At 35.1% G+C, this 24,624-nt stretch overlaps 1 protein-coding gene across 26 annotated transcripts in view; it reads right to left on the bottom strand.

Moving 5' to 3' along the window:
• DMXL1 (Dmx like 1) overlaps positions 1-24,624 on the bottom strand; it is a 178,101-nt gene that overhangs the window by 61,677 nt on the left and 91,800 nt on the right. For 13 of the 26 annotated variants that reach the window (XM_011543213.3, XM_017009145.2, XM_005271912.3 and 10 more), the window contains 10 exons: positions 22,775-22,944; positions 22,171-22,268; positions 20,670-20,835; positions 19,587-19,848; positions 16,171-17,261; positions 15,482-15,673; positions 12,114-12,190; positions 9,967-10,094; positions 9,207-9,455; positions 8,763-8,876 (listed from right to left, as the gene is read on the bottom strand). In XM_011543213.3, coding sequence (XP_011541515.1) covers positions 8,763-8,876; positions 9,207-9,455; positions 9,967-10,094; positions 12,114-12,190; positions 15,482-15,673; positions 16,171-17,261; positions 19,587-19,848; positions 20,670-20,835; positions 22,171-22,268; positions 22,775-22,944 — 2,547 coding nt within the window. The remainder of the gene's footprint in view (positions 1-8,762; positions 8,877-9,206; positions 9,456-9,966; positions 10,095-12,113; positions 12,191-15,481; positions 15,674-16,170; positions 17,262-19,586; positions 19,849-20,669; positions 20,836-22,170; positions 22,269-22,774; positions 22,945-24,624) is intronic. The other 13 variants (NR_170869.1, NR_170867.1, NM_001349240.2 and 10 more) reach the window with 3 other exon arrangements.

Genomic DNA, 24,624 nt, shown 5'->3' with positions numbered 1-24,624 from the left:
TGCTGGGTCAGATTGGTCGTGAAGCTTAGGGGCACCGATAAAAACTATAGCTGCTGGGTGTTCAACTGGTTGTTTTTGAAAATGCTAATAATCAAATATCAAGAACGTTTGCCATTCCTTGGGTGCAAACTAACCCTATGGTTCTACTATTATGGGAAAACCGCTACTTTATTAGTAACAGAAGAAAGAAAATAGTATTAGGGAGAAATTAAGAGCAACTTGAATATAGAATTTATGAATTTTAAGAGGTATAGGGAGGCTACAAAGTGGCTGAAGAAAAACTAAGGCATTCACAGGAAAAACAGAATAATGTCCTGACATAAATTTTAAAAATAAGTTTCAGTTGCTTTCCCAGGAAGCACTTTTTTTTTTTTAAATTATACTTTAAGTTCTATCGTACATGTGCACAACGTGCAGGTTTGTTACATAAGTATACATGTGCCATGTTGGTGTGCTGCACCCATTAACTCGTCATTTACATTAGATATATCTCCTAATGCTATCCCTCCCCCATCCCCCCACCCCACGACAGGCCCCAGTGTGTGATGTTCCCCTTCCCGTACTTTTTAAAACAAAGCTTCCATGTCAAGATAGTAGACTGTACAGACAAATACACCTTCCTTCCCTTAACAATCCTTTCCTCACCCTCAGAATATCTGCACTGTGGTTTTCTAAGAATTATAAAAGTAACTCCCCAAAGAACCCAAAACAGAAATGGAGAAATGGCTAACAGGCTACACATAGGGAAGGGGAGGAGCAGAGGAATAAGACAACATTCCTTCCTATAAATTCTTCTGTACTGCTAGACTTGTTACCACACACATATATTGCTGTGATTAAAACTAAAATATAAGGGGAAGGTTATTAAGTTAATATTTACTTTTCAGTTTATCATTTAAAATCAGCACAATGAAATTAATATTCTGAATGTAGATTTAAATGTCATTTCTTTAAAAACTGAACTTAGAGTTCAAGACCAGCCTGGGCAACATGGTGAAACCCAGTCTCTACAAAAAAATAGAAAAATTAGCTGGGCATGGTGGCACATGCCTGTAGTCCCAGCCACTTGGGAGGATCACTTGAGCCCAGGAGGTGGAGGTTGCAGTGAGCTGAGATCACACCATTGCACTCCAGCCTGGGCAACAGAACAAGAACCTGTCTCAACAACAAAACAAACAACAAAATAACTGAACTTAAAGTAACCAGCAGGTCTCACTCTCTATTTCTCAATCTAAGGCACCCATATCCACAGAGCTATTCATGAGTGTGCCAGAGTATACACGAAGCTTCAGGAGGCACATTAGTCTGGACCTTCTAACTGAGCCCCCCAAATATGGAAAAGATAAAAGTCATGCAAGTTTAAGACAAACAGATTTCAAATTTATTTCTTGCTTTCAGCAAGCCAATTCAGTCTAAGTCCTCAGTCTCCTAAGAGGTATATGTTAACCTTTATCTTCAGGTAAAAAGTTTGAGAACTACAAATGTACGTGAACACTAAGTATAAAACAAATCCTCAAAATTAAATGTAAAACATGATTTTCCAAGTAAACTTCAAATATTCCAAAAATAAAAGGATTAAAGAAGCAATTAATTGAAGGTACTTCTTAATCATCAAAGAATAAGATTAGTGATTAAAAAAAAAAAGTCTGGCCAGGCACAGTGGATCATGCCTGTAATCCCAGCACTTTGGGAGGCTGAGACAGGCAGACCACGTGAGACCAGGAGTTTGAGACCAGCCAGGCCAAAATGGCAAAACCTCATCTCTACTAAAAATACAAAAATTAGCCAAGTGTCGTGGTGTGCACCTGTAGTCCCAGCTGCTTGGGAAGCTGAGGTACAAGAATCACCTGAACCTGGGAGGCAGAGGTTGCAGTGAGCCAGGATCATGCCAGTGCACTCCAGCCTGGGTGACAAAGTGAGACTCTGTCTCAAAAAAACAAACAAACAAACAAAAAAAGTCTGGAAGATGATACTATCCAGCTTTTAGAAAGACTGACCCTCAAAGTCTTCCTAGGATCATTACCATACACCGTATCTTGAACATGGCTCCATAAATATCTATAAAAATGAAATAATAAATATCTTAATAGAAAGTGGTGATTTGTCTCCAAACCACAGAGCAAGGGAGTCTCCACGGTAGTTGTACAAAATGATTCACCAGAATATGGAAGGAAAATACTACAACTTCTACTTAGATTTATTTTTTGATAAATAGGGGGAAAGGGCAGAAGGAGAAGGGAAGGAGGTAGAGGAGCAGAAAGTGACAGGGGAAGAAGTAGAGGGAAAGGAGAAGGGACAAGAAGAAAGGAGAGATGGGGGCAGGTGGAGGTGAAAGCAGAGGAAAGAAGGGGAAGAAGGAAAGTAAGGAGAAGAAACTAAATTTTGTCAATGTTTAACATCTGGATCGATAGTAGTAGACATCAATATACATATATTGAGAATTTGGTCAAGCATGTTTTATGGATAAGGTAATGTCTTCAAAAGCCTGAAGTCACTGCCCTAGAGTAGTACTTACTTTTCAATCACCCTGAATGCCACAACACGGTTCTGTATATAAGATTTCAACCCAAACTCAACAAACTTATTGAAAATGTGAATGGAGTATACACACACAACGGAACATTCAGCATTAAAAAGGAAGGAAATTCTGTCGCAAGCTACAACATGGAAGAACATTACACTAGGTGAAATAAGCCAGTCACAAAAAGACAAAACACTATATAATTCCACTTATATGAGGTATATAAAGTAATCAAATCCCTGGAAACAGAGTAGAATAGTGATTACCAGGGATTGTATGAAGTGGGGGAATTGTTTAATGGGTATAGTTTCAGATTTGCAAGATGAAAAAGTTACAGAGATTTGTTTCACCACATGATAGACTTACTACTAAACTATATACTTAAAAATGGTTCACTTGCTAAATTTTATATCATGTGTTTTTAGTCATAATAAAAAAACTATAATGGAAAAAATATATTCAAGCCATTTTGCTGCAGGACTTAGGACTTAGAAATATTAGAAAACTGGGTTGAAGAGAGAGATCACATGATTGGTCTCAGTAAGGTACACAGAAATACTGAATTAAGCAGGACATGGTGGCTCACACCTGTAATCCCAGCAATTTGGGAGGCTGAGGTGGGAAGATCACTTGAGTCCAGGAGTCCAAGACCAGCCTGGGTATAGTGAGACCTTGTCTCTATAAAAATAAAACTTAAAAAATTAACTAGGCTAATCAATGATGGCCTGCACCTATAGTCCCAGCTACTTGGGGCACTGAGGTGGAAGGATCACTTGAGCCCAAGAGGCCAAGGCTGTAAAATGAGCTGTGATCACACCACTGCATTCCAGCCTGGGCGACAGAGCAAGACCCTGTCTCAAAAAAAAAAAAGAGAAGAAAACATTGAATGAGGGAGTCTAGGTCAGATAAATGAATGTTGCATTTCTTATAGGGTTAGTTTCTTCTACTGTCATCAGGCTTTAGCAGTGAAATAAAAGAATAATTACATGTAAAAATCTATACATGCACATTTCTTGGAGTTTCTTTTATCTTCTACGCTTTCTCTACTCTTGTATAAAAATTTGCCTTCCTGACTCATTTGTAAAATGAATGAATAGAACACTTTTTAAACTTTAAATTAAAATTTATATTATATGGTCTTCAATGAAAAGTCTAACAAAAATGTACTCCTGGCCAGGCGTGGTGGCTCACACTTGTAATCCAAGCACTTTAGGAGGCCAGGGCAGGCGGATCACTGAAGGTCAGGAGATTGAGACCAGCCTAGCCCGTCTCTACCAAAAAACACAAAAATTAGCCAGGTGTGGTGGTGCACGCCTGTAATCCCAGCTACTTGGGAGGCTGAGGTGGGAGAATCACTTGAACCTGGGAGGCGGAGGCTGCAGTGAGCCGAGATCACGCCACTGCACTCCAGCCTGGGCGACGGTACGAGTCTCTGCCTCACAAAGAAAAGAAAAGGAAAGTATTCCCTTCCACAGAATTAGTTACTTTGAAGTTCAGCAGTCTTTTAAAAGTTCCTTATAATAAACCACCAGTTAAATGTTTGGCATATTCAATTATATTTTAAATCACCTATTTTGTTTTATATTTTAATATGCTCAAGTCTTTTCTGGTCAAGATATTTTGCTGTTTTGCTTACTTTGCTAAAGGAATGTTAGCAATGACATGTGATAATCACTGACTACTGAATACAGAACTTTTGTTTTTACACAAGTTTTATAAGAAAAAGCAAAAAGTGGATTTTCTGATCTGTTTTAGCGTAATAAGTCAGAAATAAACTTTATGTCTAGAATATCATTAGCAATCTCATAGTAAAAAATATATGACATGCTTACCACAAATAAAATGTTCATTTTATATTTCCATTCCTCAACTTGGAGACATAAAAAAGTCATTACTATGAATTTATTAAGATAAAGAGGTAATTCACAGTTCTTATAAATGCAAGTATCACAAAACACAATAACAATTCTTAAAAACACTGCTTTATTTATAATACAGAATAAAAAGCAAAAGTATGGATTTCTAACTGTTAGCAGAAAAAGTAATTTTTTGAAAATTGCTATTGCTTAGCTGGTTCTCTTCTTTAAAATTGACCATAACAAAACAATTCAGAGTTCCATGAACATATACCTGCACTGCAGTTTTAGTTAATTAGAAAAATCAAACTCTTCATTAATATATAATGTGGAATTCACCAAAAAAAATTTGATTAAGTTAATTTATGTACATTAACATTTTTGTTAAGAATTTTGACCTGCCAGACTAGAGTCTAATAAAAATCTATAATTTCCTTCAGTTATGAAGCTTATCTTTAAATATTATGTTACTACAAGAATACATTAAGTATATAATAGATATATAGAAAGAAATATAATCTAGTTCATGAGGCCATCATTGCAAAGAAAATTTAAATCCAAATTTATAACAGAACAAGGAAAACAAATGATGGCTTTCAAATTCCTCTCATAATACAGTACCTAAACTTATGGAACACTTTTAGAAAACATGTTTAAGGGTATTTCATCTTCAATATACAATGTATTTCATCTTCAATATACAATGTATTTCAATATGCACGTATTTCATCTTCAATATACAATGCTTTGACACGTTTGAGTAGTCAGGAAAATGAAATATTCTAGATTTGTCAGCTTTCACTGGCCAAATTTAAAAGATAAAAAATTTTAAATACACATTAATTTTAACTGGATTCAAGTCAACTTTTCTAAAATACACTGTTTTATTCCCTTGGTCAACAATGTATATTGAACATTACTTAATGCAATTAGACTCTTGGCACATCAATGATTATGATTAGCAGTAATCCAAACACACAGGACTGCTTACCTACAACCTAAAATTTATCAGGTTGCTGTCCTGCCTCGGTAAGTTTTCAGGGCAACATAATAATGCCTTAAAAAAACTGAGATTTCTGAACGTTACTTTATATTGAAAGCCAATGCTGCTAGTAGTTCCTTGTCTTGGTTGATTTTCTGTTCTGAGATTTTTCTCTCTCTAGTTTTCAGTGGATCCGTACTCCACAGGACCTTCGCTTCTTTCCCTTTCTCTTCGCTTCTTTCCTTTCCTCTTTCTGCCTGCTCCTTTTCTTTTCTTTTTTGAGATGGAGTCTCGCTCTGTCGCCCAGGCTGGAGTGCAGTGGCGCAATCTCAGCTCACTGCAACCTCCACCTCCCAGGTTCAAGCGATTCTCCTGCCTCAGCCTCCTGAGTAGCTGGGTCTACAGGCACATGCCACCACACCCGGCTAATTTTTGTAGAGACAGTGTTTCACTTGTTGGCCAGGCTGGTCTCAAACTCCTGACCTCAGGTGATCTGCCCACCTAGGCCTCCCAAAATGCTGGGATTACAGGTGTGAGCCACCACATCCAGCCCTCCTGCTCCTTTTCAAATTAGCTTGGCTTTGAAACCAGCAGGCCTTTAGTTTTCATCATTCAGTGAATATATTCCTTTTTTTCTGGTTAGCAAATGGACAAATCGTACCATTCATGTTTTCTTTAAGTACTCCTTCAGTTACTTCCATGATTGTATTTAGAATACTTTCTGGGTACTCAAGGACAGATGAGCACCATATAACCTGGATATGACTATATCCAGCCCTACCACTAAGTGAACAATACGTTTTAAGTATTCCTTATTATTGGCTGAGGTTAAACATATAGATGCAGATAATTTTAGGTCACTTTATTTTTTACTTGGGGTTAAATAAGTGGTAGGATACAGCTTATGACGGACTTATAATGGCCCCCCCAAAATAATTTATGTAATGGTATTTTTGCCTACAACCAACAACTAGAGTGGTTAATAAGATTGGTGCAAAAGTAACTGCAGTTTTGCCATTGCTTTTGCACCAACCTTATACAAAGATCAACCTGGACTTTCAATATGGTTCCTTACACATATCTGTGCTCAGGAAAAATGGATGAAATTGAGACCTGATGGCTAGTAAGAATGTATTTTTCATTTTCTTTTTTATGGATATCTGCACATTCCTTAGCAATAATTTATCCCTTTTTAACATTTTACATCAACAAGATCAAAGTCTTAACAAATGAATTTTTCTCAGAACATATTAAAAATATGGTCAAAATTAATTTGCCAATTTTTAATTTAAAATTAAACTCAACAGAGCTATGGATCCTACTTCCCTTAGACTTTGAAAGTTTTTCCTTAATTGAATTCAGATATCTCAAGTATAAATATAGTCCAAGGCAAATTTCATGTGAAATTAGTCTTTTAAAAAAATCTATACAAAAAGCACAATAAACAACTTTTTAAAAAACAGAAAAGGAATGTTACAAAAACAAAATACTTAATATTTTAATAAGCAAAGGTAAACTTGGCAAATAAGGTAAATTTGCATATGAAATCTGATGTGCATAAGAAGAAAAAGGAGAAGTAAATGAGTTTAATTTAAGGCAAATGGGAGGGACCACAGAGATAAAACAGCCATCAAAGTAGTAAGCAAAGTGTGGTAGGTGGATGAGTAATAGGCAGGATGGTATCAGGTTTCTGGAGAAGTCATGTTAGGATTCTACATTTTCAGTATTTTACAACAGCAAAAACTGAATTAGCCCCTAGATTGGCTAAAGGAAGCTAAGGGCCATGGCAGGGAAGATTACAAATTATCCCTCTGATGCCACTTATACTATTCCATAAGTACAATTTGTGGTTAGGTCAAATACGTTAAGAGACCCACAGTGAACTCTATCTCCCAAAATATTAACTTCAGTTGTTCTTAAAACCTGAAATTCCTTTAACAGGGAAGGCAAATATTCTATTCCAAATAGACCAATAATAAAATGCTTCTACTTGTAAAGCAGGGGTTGGCAAATTGCAATCCAACAAATAAATAATGTTTTCTTAGAACACAGCTGTACTCATCTGTTTACAAATGGTCTATGGCTGCCTTTGTGCTACAAGGGCAGAACTAAATAGTTGTGAGATACCAAATGGACTCCAAAACCTAAAATATATATTTGGCTTTTTACAGAAAAAGCTAGTTGAACTCTGCTGAAAGTTATAAACTGAATTTGCCTCATGGTAAGTATTATACATAAAGAAATTCCTGCCTGTTTTTTCTTGATGGAAGAAAGAGGCAGGACCCAGACTAGAAAGTATGAGAGTCCTAGCTAGGTAACTGAAGAAACAATTTCAATTAAGGAGAGGAAGTAGAAGCTAGGCCATCATGATTTTTTGCTATATAGTCATGCAGGGCCACAGGTTAGTGGAAACTGCTTTTGAAAAGTATAATATATGCCAACATTGCTACTAATAACTTTTAAATATTTTAACAAGGTAATAACTTTTCTAAATTCTTTTTAATATAGCTTCATTCAAAGAATATTCATCAATCATGGTAAAGATTTTGGCAATAATTTTTTTCCCAAATAATGAAGCCAAATTCAAGCTTTTCTTATTCTCTCATGTCCCTCACCAACTGCTTGACCTCCCAAAACATATATATCCAAGCCCACATACACCTATATGTACAAGCATATGTTCAGTGTAAACGTCAGGGAAGAAGTGAATGAAAGCTCATAAAGAGATAAATAACCTTGCTGAGCTTCTCTCAAATGTATGCATAGGGCTTTTTTTTTTTTTTTTGGAAAAACATTTAACATTTTCAATTTATTCAACACCAATATAGAATGAAATAAGTTTTCAAGTACTATGTATTAAAAATAAAGCTACTCCTCATGCCCTCCATAATTGGAAAACTAAGATTATCACACATGGGCTAATACATGAAAAAAATACAGTTTTAACATTAGAAAGTTTTTAAACGGGGATACAATTGTTTAAAATATTTACTTTTCATGGTATTATGAACACTTAGAAATCCAAAAACTCCAATGGCCGGAATCATAATATGCAAATCATAAAGCAGCCTAATTTGAAATGTTTTTCTAGTCATTTCAAGCCATAGTCTGATTTTCTATGATTAGCACTGACAGTGTTTTATTTTTACACACTTTAAAATGTTAAAGTCTAAGGGACAGAAATATAAAAAACAAAGAATTTAAAAGCAGAATAAAATAGCAGAGATAGTTTTCTAAACTGCTAATCATTGTTTTAAATCAAAAATATGGCTTGATCAAAGGAAACTTCTCAATTTTCTATAAATGCCAAACAAAATAAAACTGTCCCACTGTACCCCAACCCCTCAAAACAACACAAAGCAAGCTGAATGATAAAAGCCTATTTCTAAAGCTCATATCTTGCCTGCAAGACTGGGAGGGCTATGAGAACTGATGGCTGAAAGAGCTTTGGAAAAGCCCACACATTCCATGGAGAATACCACTACCTGGTGGGGGCTAGGCATAGCAAAGTGCCTTCCTGCCAAAGAAAGAAGAAAGAATCCGTATTTGGGATAGAACAAAAACCAATATTACAGTGTGTTTCAAAACAAATGAAAGTTTCAGTAGTAAAATATTTAATAAATTTACATAAGATCGTTCTAATTATTGGTACAGGAATATCTTAAAGATTAAAAACTGCACCAGAAACTTTAATACTGCATTTTCACTGTATGACTATTTGTTTATGCTTTTCGCAAATGGTCTCTAACCAGAACTTTCTATAACTAAATTAAAATGTAATTACGTTTGAGAATGATATCACTCAGATAAATAAAGCTTCAGTCCTAAAAAAATTTTTTAAACTCACCAGGTAAAGTTTTTGAATGTGTCTGTTCTTTGCTAGGAACATGTGCACCTCCACCAAACACAGCAGACCACATTTTCTCATTTAGAGGATGGGCCACAATCCGAAATAGCTCATTACTTGAATGTGTGGCCAGGCCATGGATGAAGAGACTAAGATACACTGCTGTGAGAATCTCACAGAGCAAGACTGTAAGCCCTGACTGGGCTTCCTCGCCAGAAGAATTCAAAAGTCGAATTAGACAAGTTATTCCTAGAACGACAAACAAACATAGCTGTCACTGACTATAAATTTTTAAAATTTTAAAAATTAACTATATTTTTCTAATTTCAGGAAAAAATGTATTGCATCAGGAGTTAATACTGTATTTTCTTCCCTAGATTCACAGACTAGTAGCGGTTATTATAGTTAAGCACAAATGAGTTACTTGAGAGAAACATTAAAAATCTTTAATATTAAACATTAAAATCTTTCATGACTAAGATGTCATAGATAAATTTTCATAGACGGGTTTTTCTAGTATGTCAAAAGCAAAATGATTTAAAAAACGGTATTACAAAACATTTGAGTTATATTAGTATAATGATCAAGGGAATACTAATGTTAAGTAACTGTAATTCAGAATGAGTGGTGAATACTTAACTGGTATCAATTCTAACAGTATTTAACAATGATTATCATGTGGCAAAACTAAAAGTCTTTCTACTTATCTAAGATTATAAATAAGACTAAGAAAAAACTGATCTATACATAAAAATTATACCTGGCCATTGAGCTGGTGACGTATTGGGAGTTAATGCTTCATCTAAGCTTCCTGTTTTCAAAGAAGGTCGATGAGGAAGCAGTACTGTCTGATATACCATTCCAGTAAACTGATTCGTCTGAAATGAACTAAGAGAAAAAAACAATATTTAAATCTATGATAAATTTTATATAATATTTTCATGTTTCAGATCTACTTTCAAGAGTATCAATTTTTGTTTATTAATTATACTGCTAGTACATCTAAGTAATATAATGTACAGTCTAGTGCTATATAAAAACAAAGTATCCTTTAAGTGTAAATATACACATTTTCTAAATTAAAACACATTTTAAGGGACAGAATAAGTACAAATGAGAAAACTAAATCGCTATGTACCACAAGTAGCAAGATTACATATTTGACTTAAAAACATAGTTATCTGGTTGAAAATGAAGTCCGTTTAGGCTCACTTTCATGTATAATGGCTAGCCTACCCTACATCAGGCACTGTAGCAGGTACTAGGCATATAAGGAATAACAATGTCTCTGTCCCCATAAAATTTAATAGTGGAACAAAACACAAATAATGTTATCATACTACTCTTAAAAGATGAAACCTATGCATATGACGCTATCAAGGCAATACAGAGGAGTATTTCACACAATTTGAGAATTCAGGATAAGCTTCCCCAAGTAAAAGATGCAAAGCTAAGACTAACAGATGAATGAACAAAAAAACCTGCAGCTTGACATAAACTATGAAATAATTCTGACAGAAAATGGTATAAGGAATTTCCTTTAGAAATTCCTATATCATACATTAAGTACATGAATATACTTAAATATAGCGCATTTATTGGTGTAAATGTGTTATGATTGGCAAATCTCATTGGTTATAACATTTTGATGCCTTTGTAGTTTCCCTTGCTTTACTTTCCAGTTTCAAGATGGCAGAGTAACAACAAAAAAAACTCCCTCATTCCTATAGAAATCATAGATAGGAAAGATAAAAAGAAGTTAATGAAAATAAAGCCTAAATAATAAGAAAGTGAATTCTTGAAGGATGAGGGTTAAAGAAATCAAGTTGAAGTTACCTTGGGAAATATACAACCAGAGTGGTAAGTAAGGCTACCCACAGAAAATTCAAAAACACAAACTGGACAGACAACCAAAAATTAACAAGGAAGGCTGACACCATGTAAGAAATAACAAACTCAACAAAAGATCTTCACCTGAGAAACCCAACTTATCAGTAAAGTACTCCATACTCAAAATAATTTTTTTTAATCAAGAAATGTTATAGAAACAGAAGCAAATACTAAATTCAACAAGAGATCCCGAAAATGAAAAACAGAATTTCTAAAATATAAATTCTTGCTAAATAAGACAGGACATTGCTGAATAATGAATCCGTGTTTGGAAAATGAAGCTAGAATTTCTCCTGAAATGAAACAAAAAGAGATAAAGAAATGGAATATAGGAGGGGAAAGTTAAAGAACATTAAGAAATGACCCAGAAGTTGCAATATCTGTTTAATAGGAAAGATAGAAGAGAGATGAGACAATACTTGAAGAAATAGAGTACTTCAAACAACTAAAGATAGATATAGAAAGACCCCAGAGGGTAACAAACTATTTTTTTGAAGCCTAGATAAATTTCAGTAAAACTTTATAACATAAAGAGAAATACAGAGAAATATCCTATACATCAATTATTTGGTAAAATTTTTCTCAATTCCAAGTTACTCCCTCCCATGTGGTCCCTGAGCCTTTTACTATCTACTGTCTTATTATAGTTACCATTTTAGTACTATGCCATATTATATACATATCATTTATCAACTCACATGTTTGTCTCTAACTAGACTGGCCCTAAGAAATAGACTTTATCATATTATTTGCGTTAAAATTCTCAGTGCCAATCACAATGTCTGACATAAGGCAGTGACCAGTAATAGGCTGCTAAATAAGTTATACAGAATAAGGGTTTGAGATTCATCTGCCATAAAAATTTCAAATATGAACAAAAAGTACTCAAAACCTCAACCATATGCTTTTTGCATTATTTAAAAGACTGTTATATATAGTTCTAAACCACTAACATACAAAATATGAAACCTCATTGCTTACTGTAAGCATTCTTAAATTTCATAAAAAGATAGTTACCTGTAGTTATGACTACCACAAAGGCACTGATAAATACAAGCAGAAAGTGAAGCTGCTAAAGTATGCATTACATACACCTGGAAAACAAAAACAAAATTACTTTAAGTATAACCTTTTTAAAGTGCAGATTTTTTTTCAAGACCTAATATAATCAGCATTTTTAAAAGAATGAAAAAATTTTTGATTCTTTGCCTTCATGAACTATTTCCTTTTTTTCTACAACACTCATTTTTATCTACATGAGTCTTACTACAGAAAATTTAAAGAAAACACGCTAAAGTCTTCAGCAGAAATTATAAAACACACATTTGCTACCTAATTTCTTTTTCTAGAGCAAAGGGGAACAGATGTCAGCTCTCCAGTAGAGCATGAACCATGTATTAAAGTAAGCCCTCCAACACTCAATCTGCTTTTTCCTCAACCAAAATGTGAAGAAACAGCCTGATAACTGACAGTTCACCAACGGACAGGTCACTGAAGAATATGCTACCACATATTCTAGTTACCTTAAAAACAATTTGAAGAGAGTGAAACTAGAGGAAAGAGAAAGAGAAAGGATATAAGGTATAAAAGGCAGTAACTGAAAGGCAGTGGAGTCAGGCATTTGTTTTAAGGAAGAGAAGACTCTAAACATGGCATGGCAAGGGCCATAACATTAGGCAGAACTGAGGATGAAGGAGAAACTTCAGCTAGGTAAGAAAGCAAACCAGACTAGAATATTAAAAGACCAGGTTCTTCATCTGATTGTGAAGTATGCCAGTCATTTTGTAGATAAAAATGGAGAATGACAGATCAAATCTAATTGCTAATTTTTCCTTCAAATGTCAATAAAACGTAGTATGAATTAAAAGATATTATATAATTGAAGATGACAAAAACTATATATGGGAGCTTGCAAAAATGATCACAGTATTTTGCAGCTTCTGCAAGAGAGAGTTGGACGTACTTCTCCACTCACTGAATCTGAGCTGGGCTTGACTTGTTCGACCAAGAGGACCCAACAGAAGTGAAGTGTGAGTTCCGAATCTACACCTCAAAAAGCCTTGCAAATTCTATTCTTGCTGCTCTTGAACCCCTGAAACTACCATTTGAAAAAAATCTAGGTGTGACTGGGCCATGGGGTGCACAGACATTTGACCAAACATTATTCTGGGTGTCTGTGAAATGTTTTCAGATGAGACAAACATTTGAATCAGACTGATTAAAGCAGATTGTGCTCTGTAATGTGAGTAGACTCAACTGGCAAGACCTGAACAGAACAAAAAGGCTGAGTAACTCGCATCTAACTGCACTGAGCTGGGTCATTGCTTTTCCTGTCTTCAGACTTGAACTAAAACATCAGCTCTTTTTGGGTCTTCAGCCTGCTGACTTTCTGACCTGAACTTAAATTATAGCTCTCCTGGTTCTCAGGCCTTCTGATTTGGACCGGAACTACACCATCAGCTCTCCTGGGTGTCCAACTTGCCAACTGCAGATCTTGGGACTTTTCAGCCTCCAAAACCACATAAAACAATTCCTTATAATAAATCTCTCTCTCATTATATATATATATATATATATACACACACACATATATATATATACACACACATATATATATACACACATATATATATATACACACACACATATATATATACACACACACACACACACACACACACATACATCCTACTGATTCTGTTTCTTTGGTGAATCCAGACAAATATATTAGGCTTGCCTGCTGGAGGATGAGATACATATGACCCAGATTCTCCTGTCAGTGCTGTCAACATGCGCCAACCACCAGAAATGTAAATGATGCCTTCTTAGATCATCTAGAACCTGACTAACCCACCAGTTGACCAAAGATGAATGAGAGAGTCCAGACATTAGTATAGCTGGCCCAAACCAAAGAACTAATGAACCAACTCACAGAATTATAAGCAAAATAAATGATGGCTTTTTAAGCCACTAATGTTTCAGGACAGTTTTTTTTTTTTTTTTGGCGGGGGGTGGGCGCGGAGTTTTGCTCTTGTTGCCCAGGTTGGAGTGTAATGGTGCGATCTTGGCTCACCGCAACCTCTGCCTCCTGGGTTCAAGTGATTCTCCTGCCTCAGCCTCCCAAACACCTGAGATTATAGGCATGTGCCACTACGCCTGGCTAATTTTTTGTATTTTTAGTAGAGACAAGGTTTCTCCATGTTGGTCAGGCTGGTCTTGAATTCCTGGCCTCAGGTGATCTGCCTGCCTCGACCTCCCAAAATGCTGGGATTAGAGGCGTGAACCACCACACTGGCCTCAGGACAGTTCTTAAGCAGCAAAAGGTAACTGATACACCACAGGTATGCTATAATTAGTTTTAAATATGAAATATAGTTTGGCTAAAATGAGCACAATCTGAAAGAAATTAAATTCCAAACTGTATAATAAGCACTATGGGCATTTATACTACAGAGCAGTACAGAAAAATAAGTAGTGAAATTTAATTACAAGGATTAAGGTAACTAAAGAGGGTAAAATTGTAGGACAGTCCACCATCAGGAAAACAGAAAATCGAATTGGTGTGATACAACCTGTGAGGTGGATGAGAGCTACATGATAGACTATTAAAAAAAAACAAAAACCACTAGGGATATATGAAAATGGTCAAAGTCAGTTATACTTCAAAGGATTTCAATATGTCTGAAAAGTAAAGATAAAATATGACATTAACAGCAGATAAAGTAATGATGAATAGGATGCTTTGGTTGATTAGACAATTAACTATAACAATATAATTAGTTGCATGCATTAGAATCACACAAGGAACTTCTTTAAAAATATACATTCCTGGGACATACTCTCACAAACTGATTGAATAAGTTTGGAGTGAACTTGAGAATCCAGACTTTTAACAAGCACTGCAGCTGATTCTGTTGTAGCTGGTTCACAAAGTACTGCCTATCCTAGAAGGATGACAGGGGCAAATAGTTCACATTATCCTTAAAATGTGGATTTCTTTAGTATTAACAAGGGAAAACTTCGTTTACATATTAGTGCCTTTACATTAAAATATTAAGTTTCTATATTTAAAAAACAATGAGCTTTTTGGTTAAATGTACTACTAAAGGACTCATACGTACCTATTTTTCTTAAAGCAGCTAGACTAAATAACTAGGCATTGTGATAAAAAATTCAAGAACTCTACCGGGTGTAAGTAACATGAGTAAGATAAGCCAGTCTACAACCAGAAGATTTCTTTAATAGGAATCAACATAAACTTGGCAATGTAACAATTGCTATGCTTAGTCTGATGTTTAAAATTACTTAAAAAAAAGCCTTAATATTTATCTTGTAGTTTTATCATTGTACAGATGAAGTAAAAGCTTGAAACCAAGCATACTTACTTTATTGCTTTGGATATCAGGGTGGGGTGGTGAATCAAAGTTTATTATGGCATGGAGAATATCATGTGTCAGATTACTAAGGTGCAATAATGGATTGGCAACTACTGTTTTGGCATTGGCTGTACAAGCAAAGAGGAGAGGCACTGAGGTTTGCTCTGACAGAGGGCTAGAAAATAGTGGTTCTGATGTTTCCTTAAAAACAAAGAGGGATAAAAGGTTAACCAACTATTTACAGTTACAAACCATTACTTCAGTAAATCAAGGGCTCTTTAAAACACTTCAAAACAATTAAAAAATAAAAGCATAATAGAAACTTAGAGTTAGAAGGGATGTGAAGAAGTCAGCATTTCAATAATCATATTTAAAAATAAGACATTTAGGGGCACAGAGAGGGAAAAAAAAAATAAGACAATATCCTCTTGCAATAAGAAGTCTGTCACCCTACAAAGGCATTCAGACAACACTTTGGAGTGTGAATTAAGCAGGTCATAAGGCCTGATACTGAATCGTCTGTAACTACTATAAATACACAACTCTATAATTCATAATATGAAGGACCACACAAAAGGGAGCTTTCCCTAAAGCAACCGTAATAAAGAAAATCAAGTCTTAGTATTCAAAACCAAAAAAGAAACACCAAAAACAGTTTTAGACATGTACCATTTTTGACTATCAAGTAAATTACATACCTGCTGAGATTCTTGCAAAAGCAAAATCAATTCCATTCTTACAGATGCAAGACCCCCACCATGGGATCCATGAAGTATGCAGTAACTAAGAAACATTCTCAAAAGTGACTGATACTTCAAGAGCCACTGTCTTTTTTCCTGAAAATTTTCTCTCAGTTGTTTCACTTTTGTTTGGTGAGGCAAATCTTCAGCATCCTCATTTAATCCAAATTCATCTTCATTTCTGCCAAATGCAGACTGTAGTTCTTCAGCATCTGAGCAAAAGTCACAAGTCCTCTGAAGAGCTATCACCTCTTTTTCAAGCCAGTGGTATAGTTGGTAACGCAATTTTCCACCATCTATTTCATAGCCAGTAGATAAAGTACGAAGTTCTACTGTGAGAATCTTTAAACATGCTCTAAATTTTAACTGAACTGCAATTATATCTTCTGATGGATTTAAAAGGTCATTTTCATCTAGTGTGCTGAAAGATTCTGTGTAGTTAGAACTTATGTCATCCAACTTTTTATCTGTTTTTCTCTGTAAAGGTTTTAGTTCTTTCATTGAAATAGGGACATCCTCATTTTCTTCATCATTATCACTGTCCCATTTTAACTCTAAAGAGTCATCCTGAAACACAACACTTGGTTGGCTCCAGTCAAAAGAAAGAGTGGAGTTTGATTGCTTCTCTGAGGAACCCTCTGAAGAAGATCCAAAACCATTTATCAGTGACTGTGACCAATCAACAGCAGAAGACTTATCTTCCCTTGCATCCAACTTTAATGGAGAAGAAGGAGAACAGTCTTTACTAGTATCCAGAAAACTAGAAGCCCTATAAAAAGGTCTTGTTTTCTTGATGACTTTAGGCATCTTTGATAATACTTCCAAAGCCAACATTGGGCAGCCAGCTTTTAAATGAGCACTGGCAGTGGTAAAAAATAAACGTCTTTCACTTAAATTAATTGTTCCTGCCAGTCCACTTTTTCCTGTTAGGCTCATATGTGTGGAAAATGTATCAGATGATCCAAAATGACGTCTCAGCAAAAGAGGATGTGTTCTTAGATAATTGTAGAAATTAAAAACTGTAGGATTACTGGCTGATAAAACTTGATCTGAAAGTAAATTCATTTTATGAGCCAAGAAAAGTTATGAACTGTGTGTTTCTATTGTAGTGTCTTTTCTCTATCTACTATGACACCTTTATCTAAAGAGTCTTTTGACAAAATTTTACTAATAGGCCACAATGATCCATGGCACTGAAGAGACAACAACACATTTATAATGAACATGTTCTAACAAAGTAGGAAAACAAAGATTATGATGCTTTCCCATTGAAACAAGTCTCTTCAGGTAATATTCTAGGATAATTTAAAACGTCCAGTTATAGACTCTTAGTTCTTTTTCTCCTACTTCCCTGAACACTTCTCCTCAGTCTGCTTTGCTAGTCCTCCTCATCTTCTCTACCTTTGAACACTGAGAGTCTCCTAGGGTTCAACTGCTGACTTATTTTCTATCTATATTCCCTGAGTTGAATTCATATAGTCCCCATGACTTTCAATAACATCTACACACTGATAACTTGGACATCATCTCTATCTCCAGTCCCAACTTCACACTGAAAACCTAAACTCCTATATCCAAAGGCCTACATTTCATTTTTACTTATGTGTATAAACTCTTGCTTTGGGGCCTTTTTATTTAGTGTGCCCTTGACCCAAACCACTCTTTACCTATATCTATACTGATTAACTCACTCATTTCAACCAGTTCTCTGATCAAAGTTCACCTTATCAGAGAAAGCTCCATGATCTAAAACAATTCTTCCCCATATCATCTACCTATTGTTCAATCTAAAAAGCCAGGAGTTACCTTTGACTCCTAATTCCTTTACACTCCTTATCAAATCCAGTCCTATGTAATCAATCTTAAAATCATATCCCAAATCCAACCACATCTCTCTGCCTCCATTCCAATCATTCTGGTCCAAGCCGCTATTATTTTTTGCAATTTTCTTCTAGAAGAATACAAGTTTAATTCATAATAAAAGTATGTAAAAATGTACTAGTCCCAAATCAAAATACAATTTTTACATGAATATGTGTTAAGTATAAGAAAGTGGGCCAGGGCCAGGTGTGGTGGCTCATGCCTGTAATCCCAGCACTTTGAGCTCAGGAGTTCAAGACCACCCTGGGCAACATGGTGAAACCCCATCTCCAGCAAAAATACAAAAAAATTAGCTAGGCATGGTGGCACACACCTGTGGTCCCCGCTACTCAGGACGCTGGGGTGGGAAGATTGCTTGAGCTTGGGAGGTGGAAGCTGCAGTGAGCTGAGATAGCCCCACTGCACTCCAGCCTGGGTGAGAGTGAGACTCCACCTCAAGAAAGAAGAAAAAGAAAGAAAAGAGAAAAGACAAGACAAAAGGAAAGAGGAAGGGAAAGGGAAAGGGGGCCAGGCACAGTAGCTCATGCCTGTAATTCCAGACTTTGGGAGGCTGAGGTGGGAGGACAGCTAGATGCCAGGTGTTTGAGATGAGCCAGGGCAACAAAGCAAGATACTGTGTCTAATTTTTTTTTTTTTAAATAAAAACACTAAAAAAAGAAAGTGGCTGGAAAAGGCATTTACATTTTCCCTTCATTACATAGAGGCTAGTTTGAAAATCTTTAGCTTAAATGGCTAGGAGACTTAAACAAATGAGTCACACAGCTTTCTCAAAGGTTTAGGAAGTAAGGCGAAGGCCACTTCCTGATTAAATGATAGCACATAAAAATCTATGAACTAGACCCTTTTCCAATTAGTATTCCAAATAATATAATACCTATTTTATCAGCTACCAAACACAATTCAATCTATGAAAACATATCTGAAAAGTAAATCTCATTTTTATATGCATCTATATAAAAAATTCCATTTTATACTGGCCTCTAAGAAAGCTTTAGCAAAGAGGATTTCTAAAAGAAAAGGTACTAGCAGACTCAAAAGAGTACATAAGCTCTACCAGTTCATAACAAGACAGTCAAAAGTTCATCTAGCTAAAGATTTTCTTATCACATCACTTAAGTCAACTTGTTTTTACACTGAACACATTTTTCACTGTAAGAATTCTAAAACTGATTGACAAACACACTAAATTCAACCTAAGATTTAAAAACTGGCTTTATAACAGTATTTCTTCAAAATGTTTATATTCAAGTGTTGACAATATTTATGTTCAATATTTATGTAAATCTATTTTGTAAAAACAGAAAATCCAACGTTCTTTGTTTTCAAAGGATTTATCTTTCTGGAGAAAAAAACCAAACAACCAACCAAAAACTGTTATAAAGACCATGAATTCAATTTGTTTGTATTACCCTTACCACCTAATAGAGTGATCTGCACATGTAGCAATTACCAATAATATTCTTAATCATTAACATCTTAGAAGTGCAGCTTACCATCATTCTCTCTGATAGGTTGCTTTATTAATGTTTCCAGAGCACCACTATAATCTTCCAAAATCCAATATGCCATGCTCCGAAGAAAAGGATCATGATGCATATTTATGTTCAATGAACACAGTTCACTGACAGGAGAATCGATTCCCAAAACTTTTTTACGTAAAATAGATTTATATGCTGCAGATGTATCAAATTCAGACTCATAGAGTCTTGCTATTACAAGAGCCAACTGAATGTCATTCAATTTCTCAAGACATACCTTTAAAAAAAAATATTGTTTTTAAATAAGCAGGAGCAGGTTTCATTTTAGGATAAATTCTGTTAACTCACTAATAACTAGAAAAATATAAAGGCTTATAAATATCCAAAATTAGCAAAGAAGGATAAGAAACAAAACATATGCTGCTTGCTTTTAGATTTTAGCAAATCTACTTGACAACATTTAATAACTGCAAACCTACCTTCTAGTACTAAATATATATATATGTGCAAAAATTAAACTAAATGAGGAAACAATGGATAATTTAAATGACGTCAATTTAAGCTATATTATTTTATTTCTGTCTTGAACCTCTACTATTCTCCATCCGCCCCTGGAGACTTTAGTCTCCATATTAAAAGGTTGTTTTGAATTACTTGTATGAAACTCTGAGCAAAAGGGCAATTTGAGACAGAAATGTTGTATCTTAAATATTCATAATTTTTTTAAGGTTTACTAAGAAATAATCAGTTAAGGATTTTCTAACATTCATCAAATAATAGAGAGCCAGATATGGGGTTCAAATATGTTTAAACTGGTAGGACAAACCCTTTAATTTTTTGAATATTCTCAAGAGTCAAATCAATTACCTATCTCTACCAACTAACAAACACCATTTGGTTAATCTTAATTCTGTATAAATACCGTTCAAGTTAACAGTCAAAATTTTAAATGTCTTTATTAAATATTAACAGTTATTTCAGATATTTGGCCTTGTGTTATTTCCAATAAAGTTGAATTTAAAAAAATAAAAATTTAAGCACTAAGGAGCTTTAAAAGATGACATTGCTATACTTTGTTATTTAAATTTCACTCATTACCTCAATTGCATCTCTGAGGCAACCAGCTAAAAGAAAAAATGCTGCAGAATGTTCAAATCTTTGTTTGCCTAGCAAAGAAAAAGCATTCTTTAAAGCTGCTTTACGCCACCTCTCATCCTCAAAATTGTGTCCAAAAAACTGTGTCATCCTGGTGTTTTTTTCAGCTCTATAAAGGAAAAAAAATGGTGTGAAAATTTTGGAATACAATTTTCTTTACATCAGAATCAATTTTCTAAAGTTAAGATTTGGCTAAGTCTAAATAGAAACATCTGCCAGTTCATAACTTACTATGTATCTGCTTCTTTTCCCAGTAAAAATTATATTAGGTAAACATTTGTTATATAAGTCTCAGAGATTACAAAAAATTTTTCTTTCTAAATACAAAGAAAACTACATTAGCAGGACTGTGAAAATTACTTTTAAATCCATGCAAAATGTTTGATTTATATTAACTTGGGTGCCACCATTGAAACTCATCAGTATCTTTTCACCCCTGCCATCTGAGAATGACCTAAGAGATAAAAATCTAAAGAATGTGCCTTGAATCAAAACAACCGTAAATCATCAAGTCTCTTAGAAAACCGATTTGTTATCGTGATTTTTCCCCCAAAGGTCGCTGTTCATGTGGGTCATCTGGAAATAAACTCAAAACAAATGATGAACTATTTATGATAATCATGTTCACCAGTCTTGCTCAGAAGTGAGAGAGAAAAATTCTAAGTGAATTCAGCTCAGAAAGAAGGTGGGGCCCACAGGAAGGAGATAGTTTTGTGGGGTAGGCTGGCCCATAGTGCAGAGGTAAATGCCTGTTCCAGACTCCACCATTTAATTCATCTTCTTCCCTGTCCCAAGCATAAGTTTCTGGTTTAGTTACCTGATATGGTTTGGCTGTGTCCCCACCCAAATCTCATCTTGAATTCCCAAGTGCTGTGGGAGGGACCCAGTGGGAGGTAACTGAATCATTGGGGCAAGTCTTTTCCATGCTATTCTTGTGATAGTGAATAAGCCTCAAGAGACTTGTTGGTTTTACAAACAGGAGTTTCCCCGCACAAGCTCTGTTTTGTCTTGTCTGCTGCCATGTGAGACATGCCTTTCACCTTGTGCCATGATTGTGAGGCCTTCCCAGCCACGTGGAACTGTAAGTCCAATAAACCTCTTTCTTTTGTAAATTGCCCAGTCTTGGGTATGTCTTTATTAGCAGCATGAAAACGGACTAATACATTACCTTTGTTTTATAGGAGCATAATGAGAAGTTCTTAAGCAAAATATTGTTTCTGGATTGATAAATCTGAAAACAAATTAAACTGACCTCATCAGGTTTCTTCCACTCTGAAAAACACTTGGGGCTTTTTCCTTACGAAATCTCTCTTTTAAATATAAAACAACTAAGAATCTACATGAATCAACATCAACAAGAACAACAAATCTTACTTCATTCATTTACTTCTTATGAACAGGTTTTCACATTGAAGCACCCTTTTTTTTTTTTTTTTTTACCTACCTATATAATCCCCAAATCACAGCTTTCTTTTTCATTGCAAGGTAAAAAATGGCAGCATCTAAAGGATCATTCTTTCTATAAAAGGCTGCTTTAGCTACCTATAATCAAAAAATATTGATCAAAATTTCACAGAAACAGTTTTGAACAAGTAATTTCTTTCATATGAAAGGCTGGCACATATCCATTGAATGTTTAATAAAATTTTAAAAATATGTATATGAATAATATGTGCATGTATATATAAAATAATAACAAAAGTGACTTACAGTGGTGGCTTCAATGGATACAGAGAATAATAGGACTATTGCCTTTCATTACAAGTTCTTCTGTACTATTTTTAAATTTTTCTAAACATATATATTATTTTGTAAAAATCAGACATATACTACTAACAAGTTTGTCAATTAAAAACTTGGGAATTAGAATATACATTTTAAAACTTTAGATATTTTGAAACACGTTATAAATGAAATGTAAAGACTATTCAAAAGCCTTTTGCTGCTTCAAAAACAAGAGGGAGTAATGGCAGAGAAGATATGAAATGCCATTTAAAGAAACGTCCAAAAAATATTAATTCACTTATACACCAAAATAAAACACTTACTTTTTCTATGCATTTGCGTAAGATGCGGGTATTCCGGACCCACCACCCCACACCCATAGCTCTTAGTTCAGACCAAGTGGGATCATCTTTCTGCATGGCTGGCAACATGTTCAGCAGTTCTTCTTCTGCTACTGAGTGAAATGCCCAAGCAAAATGACTTGTAGACAGGCCTGAAGAAATGTAAAAAATGATGTTTATAAGAATTATAAATATGCTTATATGATTATCAGAAATGTATGTTCCATATTTTCAATATAAATGTGTAAACTTCTATGAGACTCACAGTTTAAGATTGGAAATATGGGCTTTTTTAAGTTTTTCCTTCTTCAAATAACTGTATCACTCCAATGAGCACATATATGTTTTGCAAAAATAGCATTTTTTTGAAAGGAAAAGAAAAAATGCTTATGGCAAATTCCACTGTGCTGATGTATTTCGGATCCTTTTTAAAAAATGAGTAACACTTAAAGCATTATTTTATGTTGATATATTTCTGTCTTCAAAGCTGCTTTTCACCTTTGTTTGGTCAACATTTGTTTTGTGGATGTAATTCCATGGAATTAGTAAAAAAAAAAAAAAACATCAAGCAAGCAGTTCAGGTTGATGAATTAGGAATAGCACTGCAAAGACTCCAGAATCATAATGCATATGTTAAATTCCAGCTCTAGCAGGGTGCGGTGGCTTACGCTGTAATCCCAGCACTTTGGGAGGCCTAGGTGGGTGGATCACTTGAGGTCAGAAGTTCGAGACCAGTCTGGCCAACATGGTGAAACCCTGTCTCTACTCAAAAAACGTACAATTAGGCCGGGCGCGCTGGCTCATGCCTGTAATCCCAGCACTTTGGGAGGCCGAGGCGGGCGGATCACGAGGTCAGGAGATCGAGACCATCCTGGCTAACACGGTGAAACCCTATCTCTACTAAAAATACAAAAAATTAGCCGGGCATGGTAGTCCCAGCTACTCGATAGGCTGACGCAGGAGAATGGCGTGAACCCAGGAGGCAGAGCTTGCAGTGAGCCGAGATTGTGCCACTGCACTCCAGCCTGGGCAACAGAGTGAGACTCCGTCTTCAAAACAAAACAAAACCATACAATTAGCCAGGCATGGTGGTATGTGCCTGTAATCCCAGCTACTCAAGAAGCTGAGGCAGAAAAATCACTTGAACTGGGGAGGTAGACATGGCAGTGAGGCAAGATCGTGCCACTGCACTCCAGCCTCGGCAACAGAGTAAGGCTCTGTCTCAAAAATGAAAATAAAAACAAAAAATAAATTCCAGCTCTATTGTTGACTATTAAGTTGGTACAAAAGTAATTGCAGGTGGTTTCTGCCATCAAAAAAGGCAAAAACTGCAGTTGCTTTTGTACCAGCATAATATATTCATATAATCTTTGGATAAGTTACGTTGTCTCTTAATGCCTCAATCTCTCTGTATGTAAAAAATGCAAATAATCATGGAACTATCTTATAACATAGTTTTGATAATTAAATAATATAGTTATAAAATTTAGAATAGAATCTGGCACACAGTAATTATTACTCCATATCACCATATTAATAAGATATTTGTATATTTATACAACATCATTTATGTCAGTAATTCTCTCAACCCAGTGGCCTACACATGTTTATTGCTCAGCTTCTATTTTCACTTTTCATAATACATTTTGTTTAGCATTACTAGGTAAAGTAAATGATTAATTATAGCATGTGGCTTTGAGATATATGGCCTCAAATTTTTAACCTAAGCCAAGCAAGGAATCACCTCCCATGCCAAGCAATGTGAAATGCTTTCTATACGGAACACTTTGAAAATAAATGAAAGGTAAAAACAAAACAAAAAAACCCTACAT

The sequence above is a fragment of the Homo sapiens genome, chromosome 5 (assembly GCF_000001405.40).
Source record: "Homo sapiens chromosome 5, GRCh38.p14 Primary Assembly".
NCBI lineage: Eukaryota > Metazoa > Chordata > Mammalia > Primates > Hominidae > Homo > Homo sapiens.
This window is presented reverse-complemented; position numbering and strand designations above follow the sequence as displayed.